General features: G+C 43.6%; 1 protein-coding gene across 3 annotated transcripts, besides 7 other annotated features; it reads right to left on the bottom strand.

Annotated features, from left to right (window-relative positions):
* Positions 348–642: a silencer, noted in NCBI's record as "tiled region #4586; K562 Repressive DNase matched - State 5:Enh". NCBI's record gives its function as "represses a minimal TATA promoter and a strong SV40 promoter by Sharpr-MPRA in K562 cells {active_cell/tissue: K562}" and the evidence as "EXISTENCE:reporter gene assay evidence [ECO:0000049][PMID:27701403]".
* On the bottom strand, positions 3,745–18,138 carry PDIK1L (PDLIM1 interacting kinase 1 like). Of its 3 annotated transcripts, NM_001243533.2 has the most exons (4): positions 17,385–17,476; positions 16,650–16,840; positions 14,707–15,008; positions 3,745–7,463 (listed from the first exon to the last, which is right to left on the bottom strand). In NM_001243533.2, the coding sequence occupies exons 3-4, from the start codon at positions 14,989–14,991 to the stop codon at positions 6,723–6,725; spliced, it is 1,026 nt and encodes a 341-aa protein (NP_001230462.1). In that variant the 5' UTR covers positions 14,992–15,008; positions 16,650–16,840; positions 17,385–17,476; the 3' UTR covers positions 3,745–6,722. The 3 variants fall into 3 exon arrangements, with proteins under 3 accessions (NP_001230462.1, NP_001230461.1, NP_690048.1); NM_001243532.2 differs by lacking the exons at positions 16,650–16,840; positions 17,385–17,476 and adding an exon at positions 17,880–18,138; NM_152835.5 differs by lacking the exon at positions 16,650–16,840.
* Positions 5,568–5,862: a silencer, noted in NCBI's record as "tiled region #12487; HepG2 Repressive non-DNase unmatched - State 15:Elon". NCBI's record gives its function as "represses a minimal TATA promoter and a strong SV40 promoter by Sharpr-MPRA in HepG2 cells {active_cell/tissue: HepG2}" and the evidence as "EXISTENCE:reporter gene assay evidence [ECO:0000049][PMID:27701403]".
* Positions 15,619–15,668: a silencer, noted in NCBI's record as "silent region_473". NCBI's record gives its function as "represses an Ori minimal core promoter by ATAC-STARR-seq in GM12878 lymphoblastoid cells {active_cell/tissue: GM12878}" and the evidence as "EXISTENCE:reporter gene assay evidence [ECO:0000049][PMID:35858748]".
* Positions 16,713–16,822: an enhancer, noted in NCBI's record as "active region_480". NCBI's record gives its function as "activates an Ori minimal core promoter by ATAC-STARR-seq in GM12878 lymphoblastoid cells {active_cell/tissue: GM12878}" and the evidence as "EXISTENCE:reporter gene assay evidence [ECO:0000049][PMID:35858748]".
* Positions 17,203–17,432: an enhancer, noted in NCBI's record as "active region_479". NCBI's record gives its function as "activates an Ori minimal core promoter by ATAC-STARR-seq in GM12878 lymphoblastoid cells {active_cell/tissue: GM12878}" and the evidence as "EXISTENCE:reporter gene assay evidence [ECO:0000049][PMID:35858748]".
* Positions 17,483–18,122: a silencer, noted in NCBI's record as "silent region_472". NCBI's record gives its function as "represses an Ori minimal core promoter by ATAC-STARR-seq in GM12878 lymphoblastoid cells {active_cell/tissue: GM12878}" and the evidence as "EXISTENCE:reporter gene assay evidence [ECO:0000049][PMID:35858748]".
* Positions 18,183–18,462: a silencer, noted in NCBI's record as "silent region_471". NCBI's record gives its function as "represses an Ori minimal core promoter by ATAC-STARR-seq in GM12878 lymphoblastoid cells {active_cell/tissue: GM12878}" and the evidence as "EXISTENCE:reporter gene assay evidence [ECO:0000049][PMID:35858748]".

Here is a 26,312-nt window from a genome sequence, read left to right as displayed (position 1 = left end):
TAAGGAAAGTAACTTTGAAACAACCAGACAATTTTCTGTTCTCTGTTTCTGCTTTTCTCAGGCCTTTTCTGTCTATAAAACCATACTTTTCTGCTTGGCTTATCGGAATACTCACTGTATTTTATAGAATAAGGTGTTGCCTTTTTCTAGAATCACAAAGAAAAGCCAATATAGATCTTTAAATCAAATTTGCTATAATTTTGTCTGTGTACCTTTCAAGACTTACTTTTAAGCTTGGATAGACAGGTCCAGAATAGCTGTTAGCCTTGGCCTCACTACTGAGACAATACTCTTCTGTGATGCTCTGTATATTGGAAGAAGGTCTTTCTGTTCTGGCTGGTGGAAATATCAATTATTCTTGGTCCTGTGTGAGCTCCAGGATTGTTCTGCCTAATCCTTTCAGGGGATCTTTCCTGCATTCAGGTCTGATAGTTTCTTCATAAGCATGACTGATTAGTACTTAGCTGATACTGTGTGTGTGAATGTGAGTGTGTGAGTGTGTGTGTGTGTGTGAGAGAGAGAGAGAGAGAGAGTGTGTGTGTGAGTGTGTATGTTTTCTTTAAGGCAGGTCTTGCTCTGCCGCCCAGGGTGGAGTGCAGCGTGGTGATTCCAGCTCACTGCAGCCTTGACTTTCCTGGGTTCAGGTGATTCTCCCAACTCAGCCTCCAAGTAGCTGGGACTATAGGCAAACACCATCACACCTGGATAATTTTATTTTATTTTTTGTAGAGACAGGGTTTCACCATGTTGCCTAGGCTGGTCTCCAACTCTTGGGCTCAAGTGATCATTCTGGCTTGGCCTCTTAAAGTACTGGGATTACAGATGTGAGTTACCTGGCCCTGCCTCAGCTGATGTCTTGAAAAAAACTTTCTGCAAAGGTCTGGAACTCTCACCGACAAATAAAAAACAGGACAAAAAAGAAAAGAAAAAAAATAAACAACAAGGTCTGGAATTCTTTGTTACCATCTGTCTCTCTCTCTCTCTCTGATACTCTGCCCCATGAATCCTAGCTGGCTTGTGCTCCCTGAACCCTAAATTCTGTCTCCTCAACTCAGGGAGACTGTTGAACCTTGTTTAGGTACTTATTCCCTGTACAGCAGCCTAAAGATTCCCTCCAAGTTGGGGCAACCACAGGGCTCACCCCATTTGATCCTTTTCTCCCAGGGATTGCTGTCGTGCACTGCTAGTTTCCCAGTGTCTGACATTTGAGTTGTTTATGGCAGGAATAGAACCCTGTTACTCCATAATGGCCAGAAGCAGAAGTCATCAGGATTTTTGCTTGCTTTTGCCCTCCTCAGGTTAAAATTGTAACAAGTAGCCAGAGTTGAGAAACACTGAGTCTACTGTAATTCCAACTTCCAAGTTCTAGCCATTGCTGCCCTGCTCCACGCCGCCCTCACAGCTGTGCTTCTACTGTTGCTTCTCAAATCACGTCAGTAAACGCTCCCTGCCTTCTACCTAAAGCCAGGAGAAATGGCATGTCATTCTAGTATTTGGTACTTATTACTACTTTCCTAATTTCCACGCATGGTAGTCTATGTGAAAGAGACAGTAAACATCCTGAATTACTATCAATCATGTGATCAGCAAGTAGAAGGAGGAAAGAAAACTGGGCTGAGGGGATTTTTATTGAACTATCCTTGTTCTTAAATAGGGCTGCAGGGCAAAGAGACACGCAGGACATCACCATAACCGAATGTATTTCTCTAATAATTGTGGTAAAAATGTAAGCTAAATTAAACAAACCAATCAACGTGCTCCCTATCAGCAGTACAAATTAGCAGTAAAGGCAGCTCAGAGTCATTTCCTAGGAGTCCTCCCGGGTGAACGGGAAGCACTGACATTTCCTGAGCATGCCACGCATTTCTACATGCATTGGCTCCTTTTATCTTCACAGCGCTCTGAGTCAGGTACTGTCTCTGCTTAAACATGTGGGAAACTGAATTTGAGGGGCTAGGGAACTCATGAAAGTCACACAGCTAGTAACAGAAAGGTAAAGAGTCTATTTTCAAAGTCTGTGTCCTTTCCTTCTGCCTGATAATAGCTGTCACCAGTAGCCCCAATGCACATTTTTTAAAAATAAAATTTTTCTTGAAGTATAACATACCTAGAGAAAAATGTAAACATTTTAAGTGCAGCTTGATGAATTTTTTCTTTTTTTAAGATGGAGTTTCGCTCATTGCCCAGGCTGAAGTGCAATGGTGCGGTCTCGGCTCACTGAAGCCTCTGCCTCCTGGGTTCAAGCGATTCTCCTGCCTCAGCCGCCCAAGTAGCTGGGATTACAGGCACCCGCCACCACACCCAGCTAATTTTTGTATTTTTAAAAATAGTGATGGGGTTTCACCATGTTGCCCAGGCTGGTCGCGAACTCCTGACCTCAGGTGATCCACCTACCTCGGCCTCCCAGAGTGCTGGGATTACAGGCATGAGCTACCACACAACATCTGCTACTCCAAAGCCTGGGCTTTTTCTGCTAGACCAGGATGCCTTTGGTAATATCAAGTTGCCCAACTTCTGCTCAGAACAAGCTGAGCTTGAAATACTGGGCTGAACAGGAAATAAAAGAGTAAAGTCAAAGCCCAAGCTTTTTTTTTTTCTCAATTTCCTTCTGTGCAATGAAAAATGATTGCAAAGGTGAAAGTACTGCCTTTAAAAGACGCACTTGGCCTTCAAGAGGTGTGGCAGCCTTGTAGGTTTTCTCAAGTGGGAGTTATTATCTAACCACAAACCAACCGTCTGTCATTACACTGCACTTTACAGGATGTCTATGATTGGTTGGCAAAGAGAGCAACATTTGAATTTAAAGAAAAGACCAAAACAACCAAGTGTCATTACATCAGTGAGAAAGATAAAGCTTCGTTGTCAGAGAAAACTCCAACTGGAGTCAGAGATTAGGCACCAAAACCCTGTCTTAAGGTAAAACCTTTTGTCATCATCTCAGTAACTGGTGTAATTACTGTTAATTTCATCAGGAAATCAGCCCCTATTTTAAGTAAAACTCAGTGAAAAAGATACGTAAAAACCATGTGAAGGTGCTTTGTAAACTGCAAAGGATTACAAAATGCTAGTAAATACAAATATTTAAAGCTTCAATTAAAAACAATCTCTAGAAAGCAAAATTTGCCTGTCTATAAAGGTTATACCAAGGGAAAGCAGAAGAGTAGGAAGCTACAATTCTTTTTTTTTCCCCTATTTTTTTGGTTTGATTTTTGAAGCCACAATTCTTGATGCCTACTTTCACTAGGTCACATGTAGAGTTGTTTTCTGTCTTCCATATTCTCCTCTGCTGTTCCATTGGACCACTAAATAGACTGTATCTTCAGGCAGAAATGATAAACATAAAAAAGTGGGCCCAAATTTTTAATAGAAAATTAAACCATCGTCTCAAGTTATAGATTGAAAAACTGCATCCTCTCATTTATTTAATATATATTATGCTGAGTCTGAGCTGCATCCTCAGCTTAATGAAACAGAAGGATAAATGAATAAAAAATTTCATCTCTGGCAATACGAGTTCTTCTTGTGTGCAAAGCAAATACAGCAAGACAGCACTAAAATTTCAGAGAACTTGAAATGCTGAAACTCCTATAATTCAATCATCTTTTCCTTGGCAATCACTTCTATTTCAGAATCATTTAAAAGGTAAGTCTGAAAAATACATTGTTTCAGATTTTATACCTTCTATTTTATGCTCATGAAGTAAAGTACTACAGAACTACTCACAGAGCCACTAAAGCAGCAATGTAGAATTTTCAGTTTTTTTTTTGTTGAAACTCACTTTATTTAAAAAAAAAAGTCATGAACAATAAATTACAATCATTTTCCCCTTTTATAAATTCTTCATAAAATATATTTGACAATTTTAACAGAAAATTTCAAAAGTTGCTTTCATTTCTTAAGTGCTGATGACTTATTTTTTGACCATTTTGTCATGCTGGTGAATTACTTTGTAGCTGCTACAATAGTTTGATTGATAACAATTTACAATTAAAAACAACAACAACGAAGAGAAAAAACAGACCAGCAGAAAGAACTATTCTGTGTGCTATTTATCTGACACTTAACACTTACTTCATCATAATGACAAAGTATCCCTTAGCACCAAAAAATCTACAGGAACCCCATCTTTCTAAGTGACAACTAGTGCAAAATAACATTCTAGGAACTAACTGTACAACCCCATATTTTCACTGGCCACAGCTGCCTATAAGCTCATTTGAAATATTTGGTCTTTTTTCAATTAAGACAAATTTCAAAAAACACCATAAATCATGGCAAAAGACTCTATGAGGAACAATTGCTTATTGAGTACCTATTATGGGCAAGGCACTGTGTACGAAGTTTTGCTTTCATTTTTCCTCTAGCAAATATCCAGGTATTTCCAAATATCACTAACCATCTTTTCTTACTCCTGGCTGAAAAGGCCTTTGGCTAAATGCCATTTTTTAATTGTCATTTTATCAACAAACCTTTAGTGCTGAGCACACAGTAGGTACTTAATAAATACCTCTGACTGAAAGAACAAAGACAAAGAATTTACTATCATTTTGCTTGGCTATTTTAGAATACAAGGACTTGATAAAATTCCAGAAGAAACTTCCTGATCACCTCATACCCTTACCCCCAATGAAAGAATTTCACTTCACAGGTAAAATCTTTCCAAGTAAATGATAATCATTAACTATTTTACATGAGGCAGGACCAAAAACTATGCGCTTAGGAAACTGTGGCTCCAAGCACATAGATATTTGAAGAGCAAATGATGCATGGGCATACCATCATCTATGAATCTCTGCTGAAGTGCCATGTTATTGACTAGACGTTATCATGATGCTTTTTCTTACTCCCTATAGCTCAACTTCCTTGGACATATCTGTTAAATTAAACTAATCTGGTGATCCAGAGGGTCAATTATCATGAGGTTCCAGTGTGTTTCCACCTCTAATTTCCAAAAGAATTCTTATATTTATTAGCTTAAAAGTGATGTTAAAAGTATATGATTTTTCATTTTAAGAGGCTTTATTTCAATAAAACCTTTTAGTCCAAATTTTAAACTTCCAGATCAAGTAACTAACATAGTCCAGAAATTTTATGTACTGCAATTTTTTTTGTGATGTTTTACATTCTATTTCCTCTGAACACATTTGAAACAGGGAAAAAAATTATGACATATTCCAAAAATTGTGGAAGTTCAAAAAAGCTGAGATTATGAAAGCTATCAATAATTTCAATATTCTAATACTATTTTGACTTTTGACCAAAAATTCTAGTGCTTTATAAAGATTAACTTAGATACAATGTAAAGTCTATTTAACCTTAAAGGCTAATGTTCTGTTTTAGGAAAGCATTCTATCCTTTAGATTTTAACTATCTGCATTTACAGGAAAACAAATTGTAGACAACCATACAAAGATAAAATCAAACTAACTTCAAGAGGAATAATGGTCTGTTGGTTTTTTGACATAGACTGTATCAGTGATTGTATAAAATGGATAGCTTTTCTACTTTAAAAGTAGTTGATGCCACAATATTTTATCCATTTGCCATACTGTGTATGTATCTTCTCCCACTTTAGATAAAGGTGATCACATTTTCAACAACCATATTATTACCAGTACTGTTTCAAATCAGACAAGAGAAAACAGCATCAGTGCCAAAATGAAAGGAACTCCAGTGACTCAACAAGTGATCATATCAGGGCAGGCAAAGTGAGGGTGGAGCTCATTTGGTTTCTTCAACTTCAGTATAATGAGGCTTAGACAAAGTCTTCAAACCAAAAATGTATCAAGTATTACAGTTCACACATAGCAAAGTTTTCAAACAGAATAATCCTGTATTCAGATTTATATCAGATTGTAGAAGCTCAAGTGCAGACGTCCCAATGCAGTGGTATAGTTGGTTAAATAAATGCTCGGTTACCTAAAGAAGGTCGGACTGAATCACCAACCTGCTGCCATATGACTGCATGACTAATTCAACTCTTGCAGCTATAGGGCACTGGAGAGTTCAAACATACTTCAGCAGCTTTGGATCACTTAATTTCATTTGTTTTACCAGATAATTTTAGACCCTCGAAAATGATGCCTTAAAAAAAAAGCTGTATATTACAAAAAAAAAAAAAAACAACTTAATATGATTTCATTAGGGGGAGGGGCAGAGTAGGAAGATAAGGGAAGGTTTATTTTTCGTCACTGACTTCACCAGCAAATCTCAAAAACCCAAACCTACATCAAATAATTTAAACAGACGTGGCATTTTTTTCATATGGAATGCAAAATGCGCACATTCACATACTTACATATACATAAATATATACATATATGTTTCCTTTACAAAGTTTCAAAGGTTGCATTACCAGCATGCAAACCTCTTTTCCCATGGAAATTCCTAATACTGACGAGGAATGTCTAAAATACTTAAAGACATATTTCCAGAAAACTGGACTCTCTTCTCTTGTTAGCTCTTAAAGAATTTTCCTGCCAAACTTCTATCAATAATCATTTTTTAAAAATTTACACCCACATTGGTAATACACATTTGAAACATACTAATAAAACGGCCAACTTGGATTTAAGAAAAATGAGGAAAAAAAAAATCCCACAAAAAATCTAAACCCTTAGAGGGTAGAGTCTAGCTTTTTATATTCTTTTTCAGCCACATAATGTTGCATCACTGTTAAACAGAAGCAGCATATCATCCATGGTATTTGCAAATAATATGTGTCACGTTTCCCAGCTGCTATCTTTAAATGCAATTTGTACTAATCTGAGTTCTAGTTCAAAAGCATCTGGACGATCCTGAGGGTTTGCAGCCAGCATTTCCTTAATCAGTTGTTTCATTCGCCCATTCATAGATTTTTTCTTCACAGGAATGAGAAGTTCCATTTTGGGATTTTCCAGAAGTGCCTCCCCAACAGGCACAATCTCAGTTCCTTGTTTTACATAACTCCCCAAGAGTTCCTTCTTTGTCTCTGTGTCTATGAATGTGATCCTTTCCAGCATTGCCCAGATGATAATCCCCAGAGCAAAGATGTCAGCTTTTGCTGTGTAATGTCCTTCCCAAACTTCAGGAGCCATGTAAAAATCTGTTCCACATGCTGTGGAAAGGAAACACTTGTTTACACTGACAGGTTCTTCTGGGTTCTGCCCAGAGGCTGAACAAACTTTACTTAGACCAAAATCAGCCACTTTGAGGGTAGGTTCCAAGTCACTGGTATCCAACCTGGTTTGAGAAATCAGGATGTTATCAGGCTTAAGATCTCGGTGGATGATCTGGTTTTTATGCAAGAAAGCCAGGGCACTGCTCAGCTGAAGCATGAAGCTGGTGTTAGTTTTACGATTGGGTTTCCTGGACAACAGATACTCATTCATATCTCCTCCGTCACAAAAATCCATCACAAACCACAAATAATAGGCGCTTCTGGGATCAAAGGCAATTTCTCCTTTTAATGAAGTTTCTACAAGCTACAAGAAGGAAGAAAAAAGATTACAATCATTTGCATAGGTTATACAATTCAGTTATAGGAAAATAATAATTGAAAGGTTAAGTCAGTCTCCACCTTTAAGTGGAAACTCTATAAATATTTTATTTAATCAGTGCTTTCAAATATGCATTTTAAACTTTAAAAAATGCTTCAACTTGTCATTTTGTCCCTGATAAATATACACCAAAGCTCTAAACCAAGGGGTAAAAATTTTAAAATAGCTTTATTTTGAAAAGCGTCCAAGTGGCCACACATTTTCTCCATGTGTCAGTGGAGCTGAACTCTACCCAGCTAGCTCATAGCTTCATGAAAAGACCAAAGTTTCAGCAGATAGACCTAGGAAATTGCCAGCTGGGGTATAAACCTCAATTAGGAAACGCTATTCAATGAAATCGCCTGAAATATACTTCTTACTGATTGCACAGACACTATCAACATAACCTGTGAAATCGAGAGAAAAATGATCAAGGAACAACCAGCTGTTGCAGAAATAGCTGTTCCTGTAGTCACTAATAAAATAAAGACTGACGTCGTTACTTCATAAACTTCTATAGGCAGAATGCAAATACGTTGGCTCTTTCACTGGATGACTTTTAAAAACCAATTTATAAAAATCAAATAGGCATTTTTTAAATTTTTAAATATTTATTTTGTTTTCAAATATGCATTTTGATATTAAAAAATCAACTCTGAATTTGTATATTTCTTCTTTCATACAAGCTGAAAACCTAGACTAAATCACAGTTTTATTTGTTATTATTATCTAGTTATAACGCTCCTTTACTTGAAATTCAATAGAATTACTTCACTGGACATGAACTATCACTCTAAAATACAGTACATAGTCTTTTTTTTTTTTTTTTTTTGAGACGGAGTCTTGCTCTGTCACCAGGCTGGAGTGCAATGGCGCAATCTCGGCTCACTGCAACCTCCGCCTCCCAGGTTCAAGAGATTCTCCTGCCTCGGCCTCCCAAGTAGCCGAGACTACAGGCGCGTGCCACCACGCCCAGCTAACTTTTGTATTTTTAGTAGAGACGGGGTTTCACCATGTTGGCCAGGATGGTCTCAATCTCTTTACCTCGTGATCCGCCCACCTCGGCCTCCCAAAGTGCTGGGACTATAGGCATGAGCCATGGCACCCGGCCCCGTATATTGTCTTTTAAAAGCATTTGTTGTATGGTGCCCTTTTCAGACCCATGAGTTGAACAGAAAAGGCCGAAGAGTTGCTGAAGAGTGAATGAATTGCTAATTTCACATTTAAATCTACTGGTACTTTCTCTACCATCTGGGAAAGCACAAGCAAAGAACATCTCTTCACGCCATCTCTCCACATGGCAGACAATAGTAATTGCGATGATCTGCAGATATCTCTTTTGCATGAGTTTTCCTTGTTGCACATGTTTGCCAGTGAGACAGAAAAATGAAAGAAAGGTACAGATCACATAATTATTTACCAGGTGCACTGATACTAAACATGCTTTTCTTCTTCTGTCTTTACTCTCAAAAGCAAACTTCCTAAATAGCTTTGAGCAATGCAGAGTCCCAGCGTTCAAAGAATGTTTTAGAGTAAGGCCAGATAGTAAATATTTCGGGCTTGACAGCCACATAAGGTCTCTGTACCATATACTTCTTCCTTTCTTTTTTACCCCCAGAAGTCTTAAAAAAAAATCTAAGAACTATTTTTAGCATCGAAACCATACGAAAACAGGCCACGGGGCCGCTGGCTGAGAGCTATGGAAATGCAGCACCCAATCTGCTTATTTTAACATGTAGAGGATGTTAGCCATTGATTTCTCTTGACTGAGGCCCTTCAATGGCTTCCCTGTTCTCTTAGGATATAGTCTAAACTCTTTAACATGGGTTATGAGACCTTGTGTGCTCTGACTCCTGCTGTCCCCTCTAGCCTCATCTAAAACAACTCTCACAATCTCACTATCTTTTTTCAATTTTTTTTTTATTGAGACAGAGTCTCACTCTGTTGCCAGGCTGGAGTGCAGTGGCGCGATCTCGGCTCACTGCAACCTCTGCTTCCCAGGTTCAAGAGACTCTCCTGCCTCAGCCTCCCAAGTAGCTGGGACTACAGGCATGCGCCACTATGCCCAGCTAATTTTTGAATTTTTTGTAGAGACAGGGTTTCACCATTGTGGCCAGGATGGTCTTGATGTATTGACCTTGTGATCCGCCTCTCGGCCTCCCAAAGTGCTGGGATTACAGGTGTGAGCCACTGCGCCCAGCCTCTTCTTTCAATTTTTAAACACTTCATGTGTTTTGCTTCACGACCTTTGTATGTACAGTTTTTTTCTGCCTAGGAAATTTTTCTCACTTATCTAGCTAACTCCTCTTCACACTACAAGTTTTAGACAATTATATATATATTTTGTGTGTGTGTGTGAGAGAGAGAGAGAGAGAGAGACAAGGTCTTGCTCTACTACCCAGGTTGGAGTGCAGTGGCACCATCATGGCTCACCGCAGCCTCAATCTCCCTGGCTCAAATGATCCTCCTGCCTCAGCCTCCCAAGTAGCTGAGACTACAGGCATGCACCACCACGCCCGTCTAATTTTTAAACTTTTTGTATTGATAGGGTTTCACCATGTTGTCCAGGCTAATCTTGAACTTCTGCACTCAAGTGATTCACCTGCCTCAGCCTCCCAAAGTGCTGGGATTGCAGGCGTAAGCCACTGCGTCCAGCCAACGATTCGTAACTTTTGAACCACGGGATTATGTAGGTTTCCCTGTTGTATGCATCCTGTACTTCTCATTCATGATATTTATCACAAGTACACAGACTGGCCACTAGGTTCCCATGCATGAGATTGTAACCTCTGTTAATTGTTTTACATTTTCTTCTAGATGAGGCTTTTGGCTATCAGGAACTGATTCAATGATTCCAACTGAGAACAAGGAAGAAGACATCAGGAAAAACATGGAGAAAAATTAAAATCCGTATGGAGAATATACCATGCATAGGGACTCTGAGGTCATACTACAGATTTGTTTGTCTTTACTAAATGTAAATATTGGTTGTCTTTACTAGATGTAAATTTAGAGAGGGCACTTGCTAAATGTGTTGATGAATGTCTGGACAACTAAACGAATCCACAGAAAGGGCAATTTTAATAGAGGTACCAATTACTGAGTACTTATATGTACCAAGTATTGTTTCTGCAACATCTCTAATTTTGACAACTCCTATACAAAGTAGATATTATTACCCCTTATCTTAAATATGAAGAAATAGAGGCTAGGAAGAGTTGGGTTATTTATCCAAGGTCATTCAGCTAGCAAAACATACCATAAGTGAAACACAAGTCTATCAGGCTTTAAAAGATGAAAGAGATTTACTAAACAAAAAGGTGCTTTAGATATAAAAATCACTGAATCAAGTCTGGTAGGCCTTTACATCTTAAAACTTTATGAGCTAATGCCTAGCTACTATAACAATTGCTGGATCTGGACTCAGCACTAAATAATATGTTTGTTTATTTGTTTATTTTTGAGACAGGGTCCCACTCTGTGATAAAGGCTAGAGTGCAGTGGTGCGATCATGGCTCACTGCAGTCTTGAACTCCTGGACTCTAGCAATCCTCCTGCCTCGGCTTCCTGAGTAGCTGGGACTAAAGGTGCGTGCCACCATGCTCAGCTAATAAATCTTTTGTTTAAATATCTTTGCTTTTCTAGTTCAAAATAGATCATGCCTCTTAGTCTCTAAAACTCAATGTAAAGTTCAGCAAGGTTCTATCCACTTTTTTTTTTTTTTTGAGACAGGGTCTGGCTCTTGCCCAGGCTGGAGTGCAGTGGCCCAATCTCGGCTCACTGTAACTTCCGCCTCCAAGGCTCAAGTGATCCTCCCACCTCAGCCTTCCAAGGAGATGGGACCACTGGTGTGTGCCACCACACCCAGCTAACTTTTTGTATTTTTCGTAGAGATGGGGTTTTGCCATGTTGCCCAGGCTGGTCTTGGAACTCCTGGCCTCAAGTGATCTGCCTGCCTCAGCCTCCCGAAGTGCCGGGATTACAGGTGTGAGCCACCATGTTTGGCTTTCTATCCACTTTTTGTTTTTGTTTTTGTTTTGGAGATGGAGTCTCGTTCTGTCACCCAGGCTGGAGTGCAGTGACATGATCTTGGCTCACTGCAATCTCTGCCTCCCGGGTTCAAGCAATTCTCCTGCCTCAGTCTCCTGGGTAGCTGGGACTACAGGCACACGCTGCCACACCTGGCTAATTTTTTGTATTTTAGTTTCACCGTGTTGCCGAGGCTGGTTTCAGACTCCTGAGCTCAGCCAATCTGCCTGCCTCGGCTAGGATTATAGGTGTGAACCATCATGCCTGGCCTCTATTCACTTTTCAGAGAGAACATAGTAAGAATGTTTCCAATATTTTCTATCAATTCAACTTACATAATAAGCACTTTAAGAAAAGCAAACAATAAAATGCACAGAGGCTAGTTATTTTTACTGTCATAAAACGGAAAACTTCAGGGCATTGGCTGGGCGAGGTGGCTCACGCCTGTAATCCCAGCACTTTGGGAGGCTGCAGCAGATGGATCACTTGAGGTCTGGAGTTCGAGACCAGCCTAGCCAACATGGTGAAACTCCATCTGTACTAAACATACAAAAATTAGCCAGGCATGGTGACGGGCACCTGTAGTCCCAACTACTCAGGAGGTTGAGCCAGGAGAATCACTTGAACCTGGGAGGCGGAGGTTGCAGTGAGCCGAGATCGCACCACTGCACTCCAGCCTGAGCGACAGAGCAAGACTCTGTCTCAAAAAAGAAAAAAAAAAAAAAAAAAAAAAAAAAAGGTTGGGCGCAGTGGCTCACGCCTGTAATCCCAACACTTTGGGAGGCCGAGGTGGGTGGATCACCTGAGGTCAGAAGTTCAAGACCAGCCTGGTCCACATGGTGAAATCTCATCTCTACTAAATACACAAAAATTAGCCGGGCGTGGTGGCAGTTGCCTGTAATCCCAGCTACTCGGGAGGCTGAGGCAGGAGAACTGCTTGAACCCGGGAGGCGGAGGTGGCAGTAAGCCGAGATTGCACCACTGCGCTCCAGCCTGGGCGACAAGAGCAAAAACTTCTTCTCAAAAACAAAAAACAAAAAACAAAAAACTTCAGGGCACAGAGTGCTAAACTGCAATATAAATTAATATAAATTAAGTTCTCAAGACTAATACTGCTCATCGTACAAGGAAACTTGCAAGTTTCTTAATACATACATTCGTGTATTTGTTTTCTTTGTTGTTCCTAGTCCAAAACTTTTCTTGTTTTAAAAACAGAGGTTTTGTTTTCTTTTTTGTTTTGGGGGACAGAATCTCGCTGTCACCCAGGCTGCAGTGCAGTGGCATGATGTCAGTTCACTGCAACCTCTGCCTCCTGGGTTCAAGTGATCCTCCCACCTCAGCCTCCCAAGTAGCTGGGACTATAAGGCACATGCCACCATGCCTGGCTAATTTTTGCACTTTTTTTTTGTACAGATGGGGTTTTGCTATGTTACCCAGGCTGGTCTTGAACTCCTGGGTTGAAGTGATCCTCCTGCTTCACCCTCCTAAATTGTTGGGATTAGAGGCGTAAGCCACCACGCCTGACCAAAAGCAGAGTTTTTTTTTTTTTTTGAGATGGAGTCTTGCTCTGTCCCCCAGGCTGGAGTGCAGTGGTGCGATCTTGGTTCACTGCAACCTCTGCCTCCTGGATTCAAGAGATTCTCCGGCCTCAGGCTTCTGAGTAGTTAGGACTACAGTTGCACGTTATCATGCCAGGCTAATTTTTGTAGTTTTTTAGTAGAGACAGGGTTTTGCCATGTTGGCCAGGCTGGTCTCAAACTCCTGACCTCAGGTGATCCGCCTGCCTCGGCCTCCCAAAGTGCTGGGATTACAGGCGTGATGAGCCACCATGCCCAGCCCAAAAGCAGACTTTTAAATGGTAAAAGTCTGATGGTAAATTCTGAATTTAGACACACTCAAAGAAAGTTGTTTTCTTTTCCAAGAATGACTAGTTTCTTTTTGTTTTTTTTTTTTTGACGGAGTCTCGCTCAGTTGCCCAGGCTGGAGTGCAGTGGCGCGATCTCGGCTCACGGCAAGCTCCGCCTCCCCGGTTCACGCCATTCTCCTGCCTCAGCCTCCCCAGTAGCTGGGACTACAGGCGTCCACCACTACGCCCAGCTAATTTTTTTGTATTTTTAGTAGAGACGGGGTTTCACCGTGTTAGCCAGGATGGTCTTGATCTCCTGACCTCGTGATCTGCCCGTCCTGGCCTCCCAAAGTGCTGGGATTACAGGCGTGAGCCACTGTGCCTGGCCCAAGAATGACTAGCTTTAAGAAATTCTGCCCTAGCCTTTAACAAGCTATGTCTTAATATATTTTCTATTCTTTGAGTATAGAGCTACTAGAGATTTTAATTTCTGGCAGAAGCCAACAAAAGAAAAACAGAAAAGCTTTTCCATTTTCCCAGGTTTACAGAAGAGTAATCTGGGAGTTAAGAAAGCATAAGCTTCAGCTGTCATTCTCAGCTCCAGCTCCCAATTGTACCACTTACTATGTATGTGATTTTGGATGAATTCATTATCTATACTATAAGCCTCAGTTTCTTCATTTGTAATGAAGATAATAATAGTCCTTTCCTCACAGGATTGTTTTGAGCAACTGCTTTTAAAGCACTCAGCACAGAGCATCGAACTGCATGCAAATTCAAATGTTAGCTGTTAGCACTGTTAATAACATTCAGGTGTTAAATCATGTACTTCATGAAAATTAACTGGAACTGCGTGGTGAAGAAACCAGATATCCCTCTAAAACAGCAGAGGCTTACATTCAAACCAGTGATTTATAAAAGAGATGCCCAATTACCTAGGGGTGTTGCTACTGGTTGTGGAATTTTTCCTTTTCTTCTGTCCTCAAGTCCAAAATTATTGATTTCAAAGAAATGAAGTTATTAGACTGTAGTCTCAAGCACCTCTCTAGTTCCTATCTTGCCCCATTCCTATGCAGACTGGCAAGTACCATTGCATAACAGGTGGCTTATGTTATTTTTAGGTATGTGCCTCACAGGTTTAAATAAAACCTTGTTTTAAAGCAAACATCTACTCAATTCTTGGCAGACACTTATCTACTTCTAACTACAAACACCTGCATTTAAAGGGAAACGTTCGTCTGACCCTTTCATTCCTCTTCTTGCTGGCCAATGCCATGTTCAAATCATTTCTATTTCCCAATCAACAACACATACCTGTAAATAAAGGGAAGAATTAGAGCCGTGGGACATCTTTTGCACCATCCCATCCTTTTGTAGGATGCATTCCTCCAAGTGAATCACATTTGGATGTTGGCTCTTGATACTGCTTAGTGCCCAGAACTCACGAAGGGCTAGTTCAACATTTTCAGGTGCGTGACATCGAATTTTCTTCACTGCCACCCGTGCAGAGGTCTTTCTGATGACTGCTTCATACACAACACCGTAACTACCTCGGCCTACCTCCCGTATTAGATCGTACTTTGGCTGGCTACTCACCATCTTCAAGGTCGAGGTTTCTGGAAAAATCAACAAAGTGCTCTGTTGAAATTATGTATACCTACTGGCTTGTATTTCTTCTTATGTATGATTTACTTGTCATCTGTCTGACTGTCTGCAGTGCTTGAAGGATATTTGCTATACCTAGGGGAAATCTAATTTTAAGAATAGTAACAATAAAGCTAACAGGTAGTATTTACCATGTATCAGGAACTGTTTTAAGCTCTTTAGAATATTAAATTCAGTTAATCCTCATAATAATCTGATGAGATAGATACTATTATGGTCTTTTTATAGATGAAACTATATAATGGAGAGGTTAAATGAAACGCCTAAGGTCAACAGCTAGTAACTGGTGGACCTGGGATTTGAAACCCGGCCATCTGCCTCAGACGACCACGATCTGAAGCACTACAGTATGCTGTCTCTTATATGAACTGCTTGAAAATGTCACTGTTAAAAATACACCCCCAAAATTCAGCATTCTTATTTACTGATCAGGAAAAAACAAGCAAGCAAGCAAAATCCCAGCTTCTCCTTCAGGCTGACACACACATAATGGTCATAAAACAGCAAAAACAAAACCCCCTCACAGTTAGAAATACAAACACCTGGCTTATGCTTAAGGCCTGAAAGTGAACCAAATCATTTATAGAACTGAAAATGTTTGTTTTCATTATGTAAAAGTAAGTGGCCAAACTCTATCTATTCATATTTTAATTTTGTCTCTTATGTCATCTCCTTATTTCTTACACAATAATGAAAATAAAGTTTGTGGAAAAGAAACGTTTCTTTTTTTTTTTTTTTTTTTTTAGACGGAGTCTCGCTCTCTCGCTCTGTCTCCCAGGCTGGAGTGCAATGACTTGATCTCGGCTCACTGCAAGCTCCGCCTCCCAGGTTCACGCCATTCTCCTGCCTCAGCCTCCCGAGTAGCTGGGACTATAGGCGCCTGCCACCACACCCGGCTATTTTTTTTTGTATTTTTTAGTAGAGACGGGGTTTCACTGTGTTAGCCAGGATGGTCTCGATCACCTGACCTCGTGATCCGCCCGCCTCGGCCTCCCAAAGTGCTGGGATTACGGGCGTGAGCCACCGCGCCCGGCCAGAAACATTTACTTAAAAATAAAGTAAGCTACTTGGATACTTAGAATACAGTTACCTTTTTGTAGTCATTTAACAATAGCTATTTTAAAATTTTTATGTTTCCTTTTTCCTAGTCATAAGACAGCTGGAGTAAACAATATCTATTTAGTTCTAGGTCATTTTTGCCAACAAAGATCCTGCATATCAAGGGGCTCTCTGACAGAGTTCTTGGGAATTCAACTTACTGAACGGTTTAAAGGCGAGGGCAAAGGCCCTGCACAGAAATGCTCATGTGTTGAATGGAGAAAGTCTAAAGTGGGCTTCCTCAGCGCCCAAAGAATTTCTAGATTATAACCAACTTCATGAACGAATTCTCATTTGTAGATTGTGACCACGGGCTAGAAAAGTAACCTGAGATTGTACAATATTTATTCTGTACAGCTGGGGAAGCAAAAGGCTACTGACCCTAGAGCCTGAGAAGTTGGGATCCACTGCTTTAAGTCTACAGGATAGATTTAATAAAAAGAAATGACTTCTGAGATTGTGTTCAGTCCCACTTCCTCTAACTGGACACCCACCCTTCAAATCGCTACTGAATTTCCTAGTGTCTAATTTCCTGCCACAGAATCCTCTGCGCCGGCTGCACAGCAGACGAGCTTTCCTGCTCTACGGGGATCGCCAATCACATCCACTCAAGGTGGTTCGTGTCTCTGAAGCAGTGCCATGTCCTCTCCAGCCTGGTACAGTCCCCATGGGGAAGAGCACCTTCCTGAATAGGGAGGAGAGAGGTGTTTATGAAACCCGTGGGATCCCGGATCCAATGATGCATCCGATGCGAACCTAAGTGACTTTCGACCGAAAGTGGCGGGCCCTCGCTCCCGCTGCTCTAACCAGGCGCTGGGACGCGAGCCGGCCAGGCCAGACACCTGCCGGCGCCCGGGAAGGGCCAGTCGCGGCCAGAGGTGTTGCCCGACGCGGCGGCTCAGGCCGCGCTCATTGGCCAAGTGTCAGGCCCTCCCCCTCCTCGGCCGTGCTCAGATGAAGCCCGGAGGGGAGCCTCCTGAGCCCCTTCGCTCTGAGGAGCCAGCCCTGCAGTTGCCTCAACTCCTCGGGGCTGGGGGCTGAGGGCCGGGGGGAGGTGGCCCCGGTATGAGAGGAGGCCGCGACTGGGGTCGGTGGCCTGAGGAGCGCAGGGCCTTCCCCAGGATGACTCCGCTGACACGTCTGTGACAAGCCTCCCAGGGAGGGAGGCACATGCAGGGCCATCGGCTCTGCAGCAAGACCTCTCCGCCACGCCGAAAGGCCAGATTTACCTCAGGGTAGACGCTGCCGCTTCTCCCTCTCATGGGCTCTGCAGGCCGCCATTATCGGGCAGCTCGCGCCTCCGCTGCCGCCGCCTCCAGTCAGCAGCCGGCGCGCGCCCCCGTGGTGCGCGCGGACACACCCCCTTACGCCGACGGCCCCGCCCCCCTCCGGCTTTCCGTAGCGCGAGCCGGGACGTTCCGCGCCACCGACGAGGCGCGCGGCCGGCGCTCCGCTCGCCTCCTCCCTCTCTCGAGGATTTGCAGAGCCGGGAGTCGTCGGAGGTGTGCGCGCTCCGGAGCGCACCACTGGTGCTGCTCCCCGCAGGGGTGGCCGGGCTCGGGAACCGCGAGGCCACGCCACGCCGGGGCTCGGCCACCCTCCAGCCGCAGCGGGCGCTCAGGGCCCGCGGCCCCGGGGACCGTCTGCAGCGGCAGGTCCGGGCCTGGGGCTGCGCGCGCCCGGCCGCGGCCTCCCCTCCCTCTACCCGCCCCCTTCCGACCTACCGAGCTGCGGGCTGGGGTGCGGGGCTCGCTGGGGTGGAACGCCCGGTGCATCTTCCGCGCGGGTCTCGGGTGCCTGCGGGGCGCGGTGCTCTTTGGCGGGCCTGCGGGGAGGTGCGGCCCGACCAAGGAGGCCTGGCGTCCGCCCCGCCGGGAGGGAGACTGCAGCTTTTCTCCGAGTCACTGAGCCATGTTTGCGGGCGGTGCAGTTGCGGAGACGGCGGCGGCGGCGGCGGCGCGGGGCTGGGTGCGATCATCTGGGAGGATGCCGTCCCCTGCCCCGCCGGCGCGGTGGTATCTCCCTTAAAGAGGCCGGCGCCTCATTGTTCCCCGGCTGCGGCCGCAGGGAGCCAGGGCCACCTCCTCGGCGTGGGGAGTGAGGGCGCGGAGGCGCCTGCACCTGGCTGCGGTGCCCACGGCGCCCCCCCGCGAGGCTCCTGGTGGAGGGTTGGTCTGCAGTCGGCGCAGGGGAGAGGCCTTGGTCCGAGCCAGGATCCACCGCGCTCCTGCCGCTCTCGGGGCTGGACAGTCAATGGGGTCCCCGCCGCTGCTGCAGTCGCTCGGCTGCCACACGCTGTTAGTCAGATCCCGCACGCTGTTGGCCCCACAGCCAGCCCGGGGTCACTTAGGACCGCATTCCTCAGTCATCCAGTTGTTAGATCAGTAAGCATCCGCCAGAAAAGTCCATTCCTTCTTACTCGATTTATTCTGCACCCATTACTTCTCAGCAGGGTGATGATTCCTCCTCCCAGCGCTCGCTCTGTAAGGCACGATGTACAAAAAATCCCTGTCGCTGTGCTCAAAGATCAACTCATTTTATTTTCTGTCCTTTATGCCCCTTCTCCCGAGAGTCTGGCACTGGGTTAGGTCTTTATATAAATGATCTTGCTTAATCCTAACCAAACCCCACAAGAGTAGGTTTTATTATCCTGTTTTTACAGGTGAGGAAACACCTCTGCCTCTTCTCACTGAAGTGTCTGTTTTGGGATGTGTCTACCTTGAATACCCATTCCTGGTGTAACACACCCTCCCCTTAAAAAAAAAAAACAACAACGGTTCTGTAATCTGTTCAGATTTTTGTCCTGAGTGCCATCCAAGTGTCAAGTCTTCAGCTGTTTGCTGGAAACACTGGTGTCAGCCAAGACTTATTTCCCGCCCTCAAAAGTAGAGGGAAAATATAGAAGGCTCTGCGTAGACAGCTAACTACCTGTGTGGGTTATTGATCCCAATCAGGGGAGGGACCTCTCTCTCGATCAAAGTAGCGTTTTCATTTTGTCTCAGTCATTAAATATCATAGGAACCCTTGCTCTTAAGTCAGCTGCAGATGAGATTTGAAATCCACTCTCGCCCCCAGTTTAGGCTCACTGTTAAGTCTGTGAGGGGGGTTTAGATCTTGTGGGACCTGAAACTTAAATAATTTGGGGTGTCCTCCTGAGGAAAAATGTTATAAAATGGCCCTGTGAACACATATCTGGAACACTGGAAAGGGTCCCTATAAGTAAAGGACTCTGAAGCTTAAGATTCATTAGTTTCAGGGTAAATCTGCCTCCTGCTTATTATGTCATTTTTTTTAGCCTTTAGGCCTCCTGGAGGACTGAGAATTCCTAGGGGCAGGAACCTTGTCTGTGATTCATCTCTGCAGCCTCCTCAATCTGATATGGTATCAAAATACACCTAAGGCTAGCATTCTCATACATAGCTGGTGGGAAGACAAAGTGATATAACAGTTAACAAGGAAATTTGGCAATATATAGCAATATTATTTGATCCAGTAACCCTAGATCAAATACTAGATTTCGAGGAATCTATCCTAGTAATATACTGGCAAACACACACACACAAAACAACAAACCTGTATGTACAGGGCTGTTCATTATGGCATTAATGAATAGCAAAAGATTGGAAACTGCTCACATGTCTAATGATAAAGAACTGGTTGAATAAATTATAGTACATACACAGGATAAAGTACTATGCAGCCATGAAAAGCTATGTGGAAGAGGCCTGGCATGGTGGCTCACACCTGTAATCCTAGCACTTTGGGAGGCCGAGGTGGGCAGATCACTTGAGGTCAGGAGTTTGAGACCAGCCTGGCCAACATGGTGAAACCCTGTCTCTACTAAAAATACAAAAATTAGGCGGGTGTGGTGGCACTTGCCTGTAGTCCCAGGTACTTGGGAGGCTGAGGCAGGAGAATCTCTTGAACCTGGGAGGCGGAGGTTGCAGTGAGCCGAGGTCAAGCCACTGCACTCCAGCTTGGGCGACAGAGCAAGACTCTGTCTCAAAAAAAAAAAAAAAACAGAGCAAGACTCTATCTCAAAAAAAAAAAGATGTGGAAGATTTCTTATATATACTAATAAACATATACTAATATCAAGTGATCTGTTTATTATTAAGTGAAATAAGCAAAGTGCATACAGTGTTTATAGTATGCTATTACATGTGAGTAATGGAGAGATAAATATACATTAAGTACTTATATTTAAAAGGTAAACAATGGAAGAATAAATCCCAAACTTCTAAAAAAATAGTTGCCTATGTGGGTTGGAGGGGATAGAGATGGGAATGAGACTTCTATGAATATACCTTTTATATAGTACAATTTTGGACTCTTGTAAACATTTCACATATTTATAAGACAAAGTTCAATAAAATAAAGCACTCCATAAAAATTAAAAACAAATGGAAACGAACCATCTGTAATGTCAGATTGGTGGTGTAACACAGAGAAAATAATTTCAAATGGCTTCTTAAGTATTTTGATTTTTTTTCTTTTTTAAAGAGATGAGTTCAGGCCGGGTGCAGTGGCTCACGCCTGTAATCCCAGCGCTTTGGGAGACCGAGGCAGGTGGATCATGAGGTCAGGAGATCAAGACCATCCTGGCTAACACGGTGAAACCCCGTCTCTACTAAAAATACAAAAAAATTAGCTGGGCATGGTGGTGGGCGCCTGTAGTTCCAGCTACTGGAGAGGCTGAGGCAGGAGAATGGCGTGAACCTGGGAGGCAGAGCTTGCAGTGAGCTGAGATCGAGCCATTGCACTCCAGCCTGGGCGAGAGAGCGAGACTCTCCATCTCAAAAAAATAAAAAATAAAGAGATATCATTCTGTCGCCCAGGCTTGAGTGCAGTGGTGATCATAGTTCACTAACTTCCAACTCCTGGGCTCAAGGGATCCTCCCACCTCAGCCTCCTGAGGAGCTGGGACTATAGGCATAGCTAATTTTAAAAAAGTTTTTGTTGGCTGGGCGCGGTGGCTCACGCCTGTAATCCCAGCACTTTGGGAGGCCGAGGCGGGCGGATCACGAGGTCAGGAGATAAGACCATCCTGGCTAACACGGTGAAACCCTGTCTCTACTAAAAATATAAAAAATTAGCCGGGCGTGGTGACGGGCACCCGTAGGCCTAGCTACTCGGGAGGCTGAGGCAGAAGAATGGCGTGAACCTGGGAGGCAGAGCCTGCAGTGAGTTGAGATCACGCCACTGCACTCCAGCCTGGGCAACAGAGCGAGACCCTGTCTCAAAAAAAAAAAAAAAATTTTTTTTTGTAGAGACAGGGTCTCGCTGTGTCGCCCAGGCTGCTCGTAAACTCCTGGCATCAAGTGATCCTCGTTTGTCTCTCAAGGTGTTGGGATTACAGTCATGTAATCCTTGTTTGTACCTGTCTAATGGGATACAGTCTAAGGACAAATAAAACTGCATAGAAATACAATTGTATTCATTAGTCTTATTGCCAGTAGTAATATTGATGTTGCTATTTTGAAACTATGATATAAGAAAAAATAAGTAATTATGTCAATAGCATTAGGAACCAAGATTTTTCAGTGTATGAGAAAGTGTTATAAGTGGAAAAGAAGCTTAGGATATACTTAGATCTGAATTAGATAGCAGTATGTATTTTTTCTCTTCAAAAATGTATTTTCAGCCTGGCATGGTGGCTCACGCCTGTAATCCCAGCACTTTGGGAGGCCGAGGCTGGTGGATCACCTGAAGTCATGAGTTCCAGACCAGCCTGGCCAATGTGGCGAAACCCTATCTCTACCAAAAATAGAAAAATTAGCTGGGCACGGTGGTGGGCACCTGTAGTCCCAGCTACTGGGGAGTCTGAGGCAGGAGAATCACTTGAACCCAGGAGGTGGAGGTTGCAGTGAGCTGAGATTGCACCACTGCACTCCAGCCTGGGTGACAGAGCAAGACTCCATCTCAAAAAAAAAAAAAAAAAAAGTATTTTTTAGCTCTGTCTGCTGAAAAGGCCTAGAAGCAATGACCAACTCAGTGGTAAGGAACACCCCTAGTGCACAGATTTAGTCTCTAAATACCATTTTGCAGTTTAAAAAAACATTAAAAATAATTTAAAAGTCATTGACCAACCTTAAAATCACTAAAATGTTTTAAGGTTAGTGTCTATTCCTGAAACAACAGTCCTGGAATTGAGTCTTGTTGGACTTGATTGGCTAGGGGAGAGGATAGGGGATAGGGTCCTTGGACTCTTCCTCGACAAGCTCTCTGTGTCCTAAAGGATGGGGCTTACTGACGGGCTTAAATCCAGAGGCTGTGGGGGCCACTAACAAATGTCTTGACATACACCTTCCTTGAAGAGTCAACTAGTGCCTGGCATGTGGTGGTGCTTTGTTCATTAAGTCAACAGTGCTCTCCATGAAATATTCTTGCCTTAAAAAAAAAAAAAAAAAAAAAGGCTGGGCATGGTGGCTCACACCTGTAATCCCAACACTTTGGGAGGCCGAGGCAGTCAGATCACCTGAGGTCAGAAGTTCGAGACCAGCCTGGCCAACATTGTGAAACTCCATCTCTACTAAAAAAAAAAAAAAAATACAAAAATTAGCCAGGTGTGGTTGTGCACACTTGTAGTCCCAGCTACTAGGGAGTCTGAGGAAGGAGGATTGCTTGAACCTGGGAGGTAGAGGTTGCAGTGAGCCGAGATCTCACCACTGCGCTCCAGCCTGGGTGACAGAGCGAGACCCTGTCTCAAAAAATAGAACAACAACAAAAAAAAGAAAGAAAGAAAGAAAAAGAGCCTAAGTCTTATCAAGCCAAAATCTAATTACCAGTTTTCGAGAAATATGAGGGATAGACAAAGATCATAATCAGTCAAACTCCAAATGTGGAGCATGCTACAGGACAGGACAAGTGTCCTGGATTCTCCAGTAGATTCATGATATAGAAGTAAAACTGGACCGTGGAATGTGAAAGTGACTTACCAAATGCAGTAAACTCATTTGGATCACGATTCAAATGAGTCAATTTGTCAAAAGATGTCTTCAGAAATTTAAATATAGGTTAGGCACGGCGACTCACACCTGAAATCCCAACACTTTGGGAGGCTGAGGTGGGCAGATCACTTGAGGCCAGGAGTTGGGTGAGACCAGCCTGGGCAACACAGTGAACGACCCAGTCTCTACCAAAAAATGCAAAAATTAGCCAGGCATGGTGGCACAAGCCTGTAGTCCCAGCTACTTGGGAGGCTGAGGCAGGAGAATCACTTGAACCCAGGAGGCAGAGGTTGCAGTGAGCGGAGATTATGCCACTGCACTCCAGCCTGGTCTAGAGACAGAGTGAGACCCTCAAAAAAAAGAAAGAAAAAAAGAAAAAAGAAATTTAAATATGAACTTAGATCAAATTAAGTAATTATTGTTCTTTTTTGTTAAGTGACACAGTGTTTGTGAAAATAAGTCTTTTTCTTTCTTTCTTTTTTTTTTTTGAGATGGAGTTTCGCTCTTGTTGCCCAGGCTGGAGTGCAATAGCGCAATCTCGGTTCACCGCAACCTCTGCCTCCCAGATTCAAGCGATTCTCCTGCCTCAGTCTCCTGAGTAGCAGGGATTATAGGCATGCGCCATCACGCTTGGCTAATTTTGTATTTTCAGTAGAGATGGGGTTTCTCCATGTTGGTCAGGCTGGTCTCAAACTCCTGACCACAGGTGATCCGCCCATCTCAGCCTCCCAAAGTGCTGGGATTACAGGTGTGAACCACAGTGCCTGGCCGAAAATAAGTCTTTTTCAATTCAGCACACGTGCATTATGGATGAAACGAAATGAGGCCTGGAATATACTTTAAAATACTCCACTATCAGCACAGCAAACAGAGAGGGGAAGATTGGCAAAATGTTGATAGTTGTTGAAACTTAGTGCTGGGCACGTGAGGCTTATTATACCATTCTACCTTTGTGTATGTTTGACTCTTTCCATAATAAAAAGTTAGACAATCACGCTCAAAAAAGGAAATGAGTATTTTGGACAAATGGGAACTTGGATGTAGCAAGCCTGCCCCCTGGTGGCAGGTTCCATTAGTGAAGCTGATGCTCCAGTCTCACTAAAGCAGGTCTGAATTCCCAGACCTGTCAAGATCCAAGTCCTTTATCCCGCAAGAACCCTACGAAGTGGAGAATATGAGCATAGCCTTTTACATCTGGAGAAACTGAGACTCAAAGGGACTCAGTAACTTAGGTTCCTAATAAGTCACTGGTGGAGCCAAGACTCCTGGAGTCTTTGGACTCCAGGTCCCCAGCCCCATAAATCAACATGAATCTGAGCCTTACTTTTCCTATCTGAAGAGAGGTCACATGGGAAGAGGCAAATGGGCTGTCCCTAATTAGAATGGGTCCACAGGAAGCAGATTATCATGGAGCAATTTTACCTATAAACTATAGATAAATAAATACAAATCGGTAATATAAATAAATAATAGGTAATATTCATACTAACTTCTGTGCGAGGCACTGTGCAAAGTACTGTTTATAGAGTGATCTCATCTAATCTGCACAGTGACCCTGTAAAGCATGTGCTATTATTGTCCTCCCTTTTACAACTGAGGAAACAAAGGTTCTAAGAGGTGAAAGAACTTGTCCAAAGTCACACAGGCACTTCAATTGGGGTCTAACTGCGTGTGTGTGTGTGTGTGTGTGTGTGTGTGTGTGTGTGTGTTTGAGATGGAGTCTCGCTCTGTCCCCCAGGCTGGAGTGCAGTGGCACAATCTTGGCTTACTGCAACCTCCGCCTCCTGGGTTCAAGCGATTCTCCCACCTCAGCCCCCTGAGTAGCTGGAATTACAGGCGCCCGAGTAGCTGGAATACAGGCGCATGCCACCACTCCTGGCTCATTTTTGTATTTTTAGTAGAGATGGGGTTTCACCATGTTGGCCAGGCTAGCCTTGAACCCCTGGCTTTAAGTGATCTGCCCGCCTTGGCCTCCCAAAGTGCTGGGATTTCAGGCATGAGCCACCATGCCCGGTTGTGTGTGTGTGTGTTTTAAAAGACTTTATTTTTAGAGAAGTTTTAGGTTCACAGTGAAGTTGAGTGGAAATTACAGACTTCCCATATACACCCTGTCCCCAAGGCACATCTTGGAGTCTTTCTTCCCACCAGATTGCTGACCCTGAATTTCTCCTCTGGAGAAATTATGAGAGGCATCATTGATGCATTGTTAGAGACCTAGTACCCACTGAGCCAACCACAAGTTGTTATCAAAATGCCACAATGAGGTCATTAAGGGCGACTGGCTAGGCCTGTCAGTGAATGTTTCCGGAGCAGCTCCTAACTGCTGTAGCAGAGAGAATCCCCGACAGTGTCCCCTCCCTTCTTCTTCCCAAGCTTGGGGAGCCCCAGCCCCATTTCTTTTCTTTTCTTTTCTTTTTTTTTTTTTTTTTTGAGATGGAGTCTTGCTCTGTTGCCTAGGCTCGAGTGCAATGGCACAATCTTGGCTCACTGCAACCTCTGCCTCCTGGGTTCAAGCGATTCTCCTGCCTGAGCCTCCTGCGTAGCTAGGATCATAGGCATGCGCCACCATGCCTGGCTAATTTTTGTATTTTTGATAGAGATGGGGTTTTGCCATATTGGCCAGGCTGGTCTCGAACTCCTGACCTCAGGTGATCCACCCACCTCGGCCTCCCAAAGTGTTGGGATTATAGGCGTGAGCCACTGTGCCCAGCCACCCCAGCCCCATTTCTGCAGGGGGAGGCTGAGGGAGAAACTCCTTTAGGAAGGGTATTAGCTTTGGCACTAACACGCTGTGTCATCTTGAGCAAGAAAGACTCCCCCCTGCTGTGGGCCTCAGTCTCCCCATCTGCAAAATGAGGGGGTCTGACCAGCTCATCTCTAAGGATCCTTATAGCTCCAACACTCTGATTCTTGAATCCTACACCTCCACTATGCTTGTAATAAGAAGATCAAAATGTTTATTTCTGATCCAGCCCCTGAGACAAGTGATCTGGGGGCCCACAAAGGTCTTGCACCAGGTATAACATTAGCTGTTTTTGTCTTTGGATGGGTCCTAGTTGTCTTCTTGGTGAGGACTGAGAACAGCTGGAGCAGCTGATGGTTAAGACCCAGGTTCACATCTCCTGCCCCTGGGTCCAAGAGCTGCTGGGGATGCCACCATCTGAAAACCATGCTGGATGGGGGTGTTGGGAGTGTCCCAAACTGAGG

The sequence above is a fragment of the Homo sapiens genome, chromosome 1 (assembly GCF_000001405.40).
Source record: "Homo sapiens chromosome 1, GRCh38.p14 Primary Assembly".
Taxonomy (NCBI): domain Eukaryota; kingdom Metazoa; phylum Chordata; class Mammalia; order Primates; family Hominidae; genus Homo; species Homo sapiens.
This window is presented reverse-complemented; position numbering and strand designations above follow the sequence as displayed.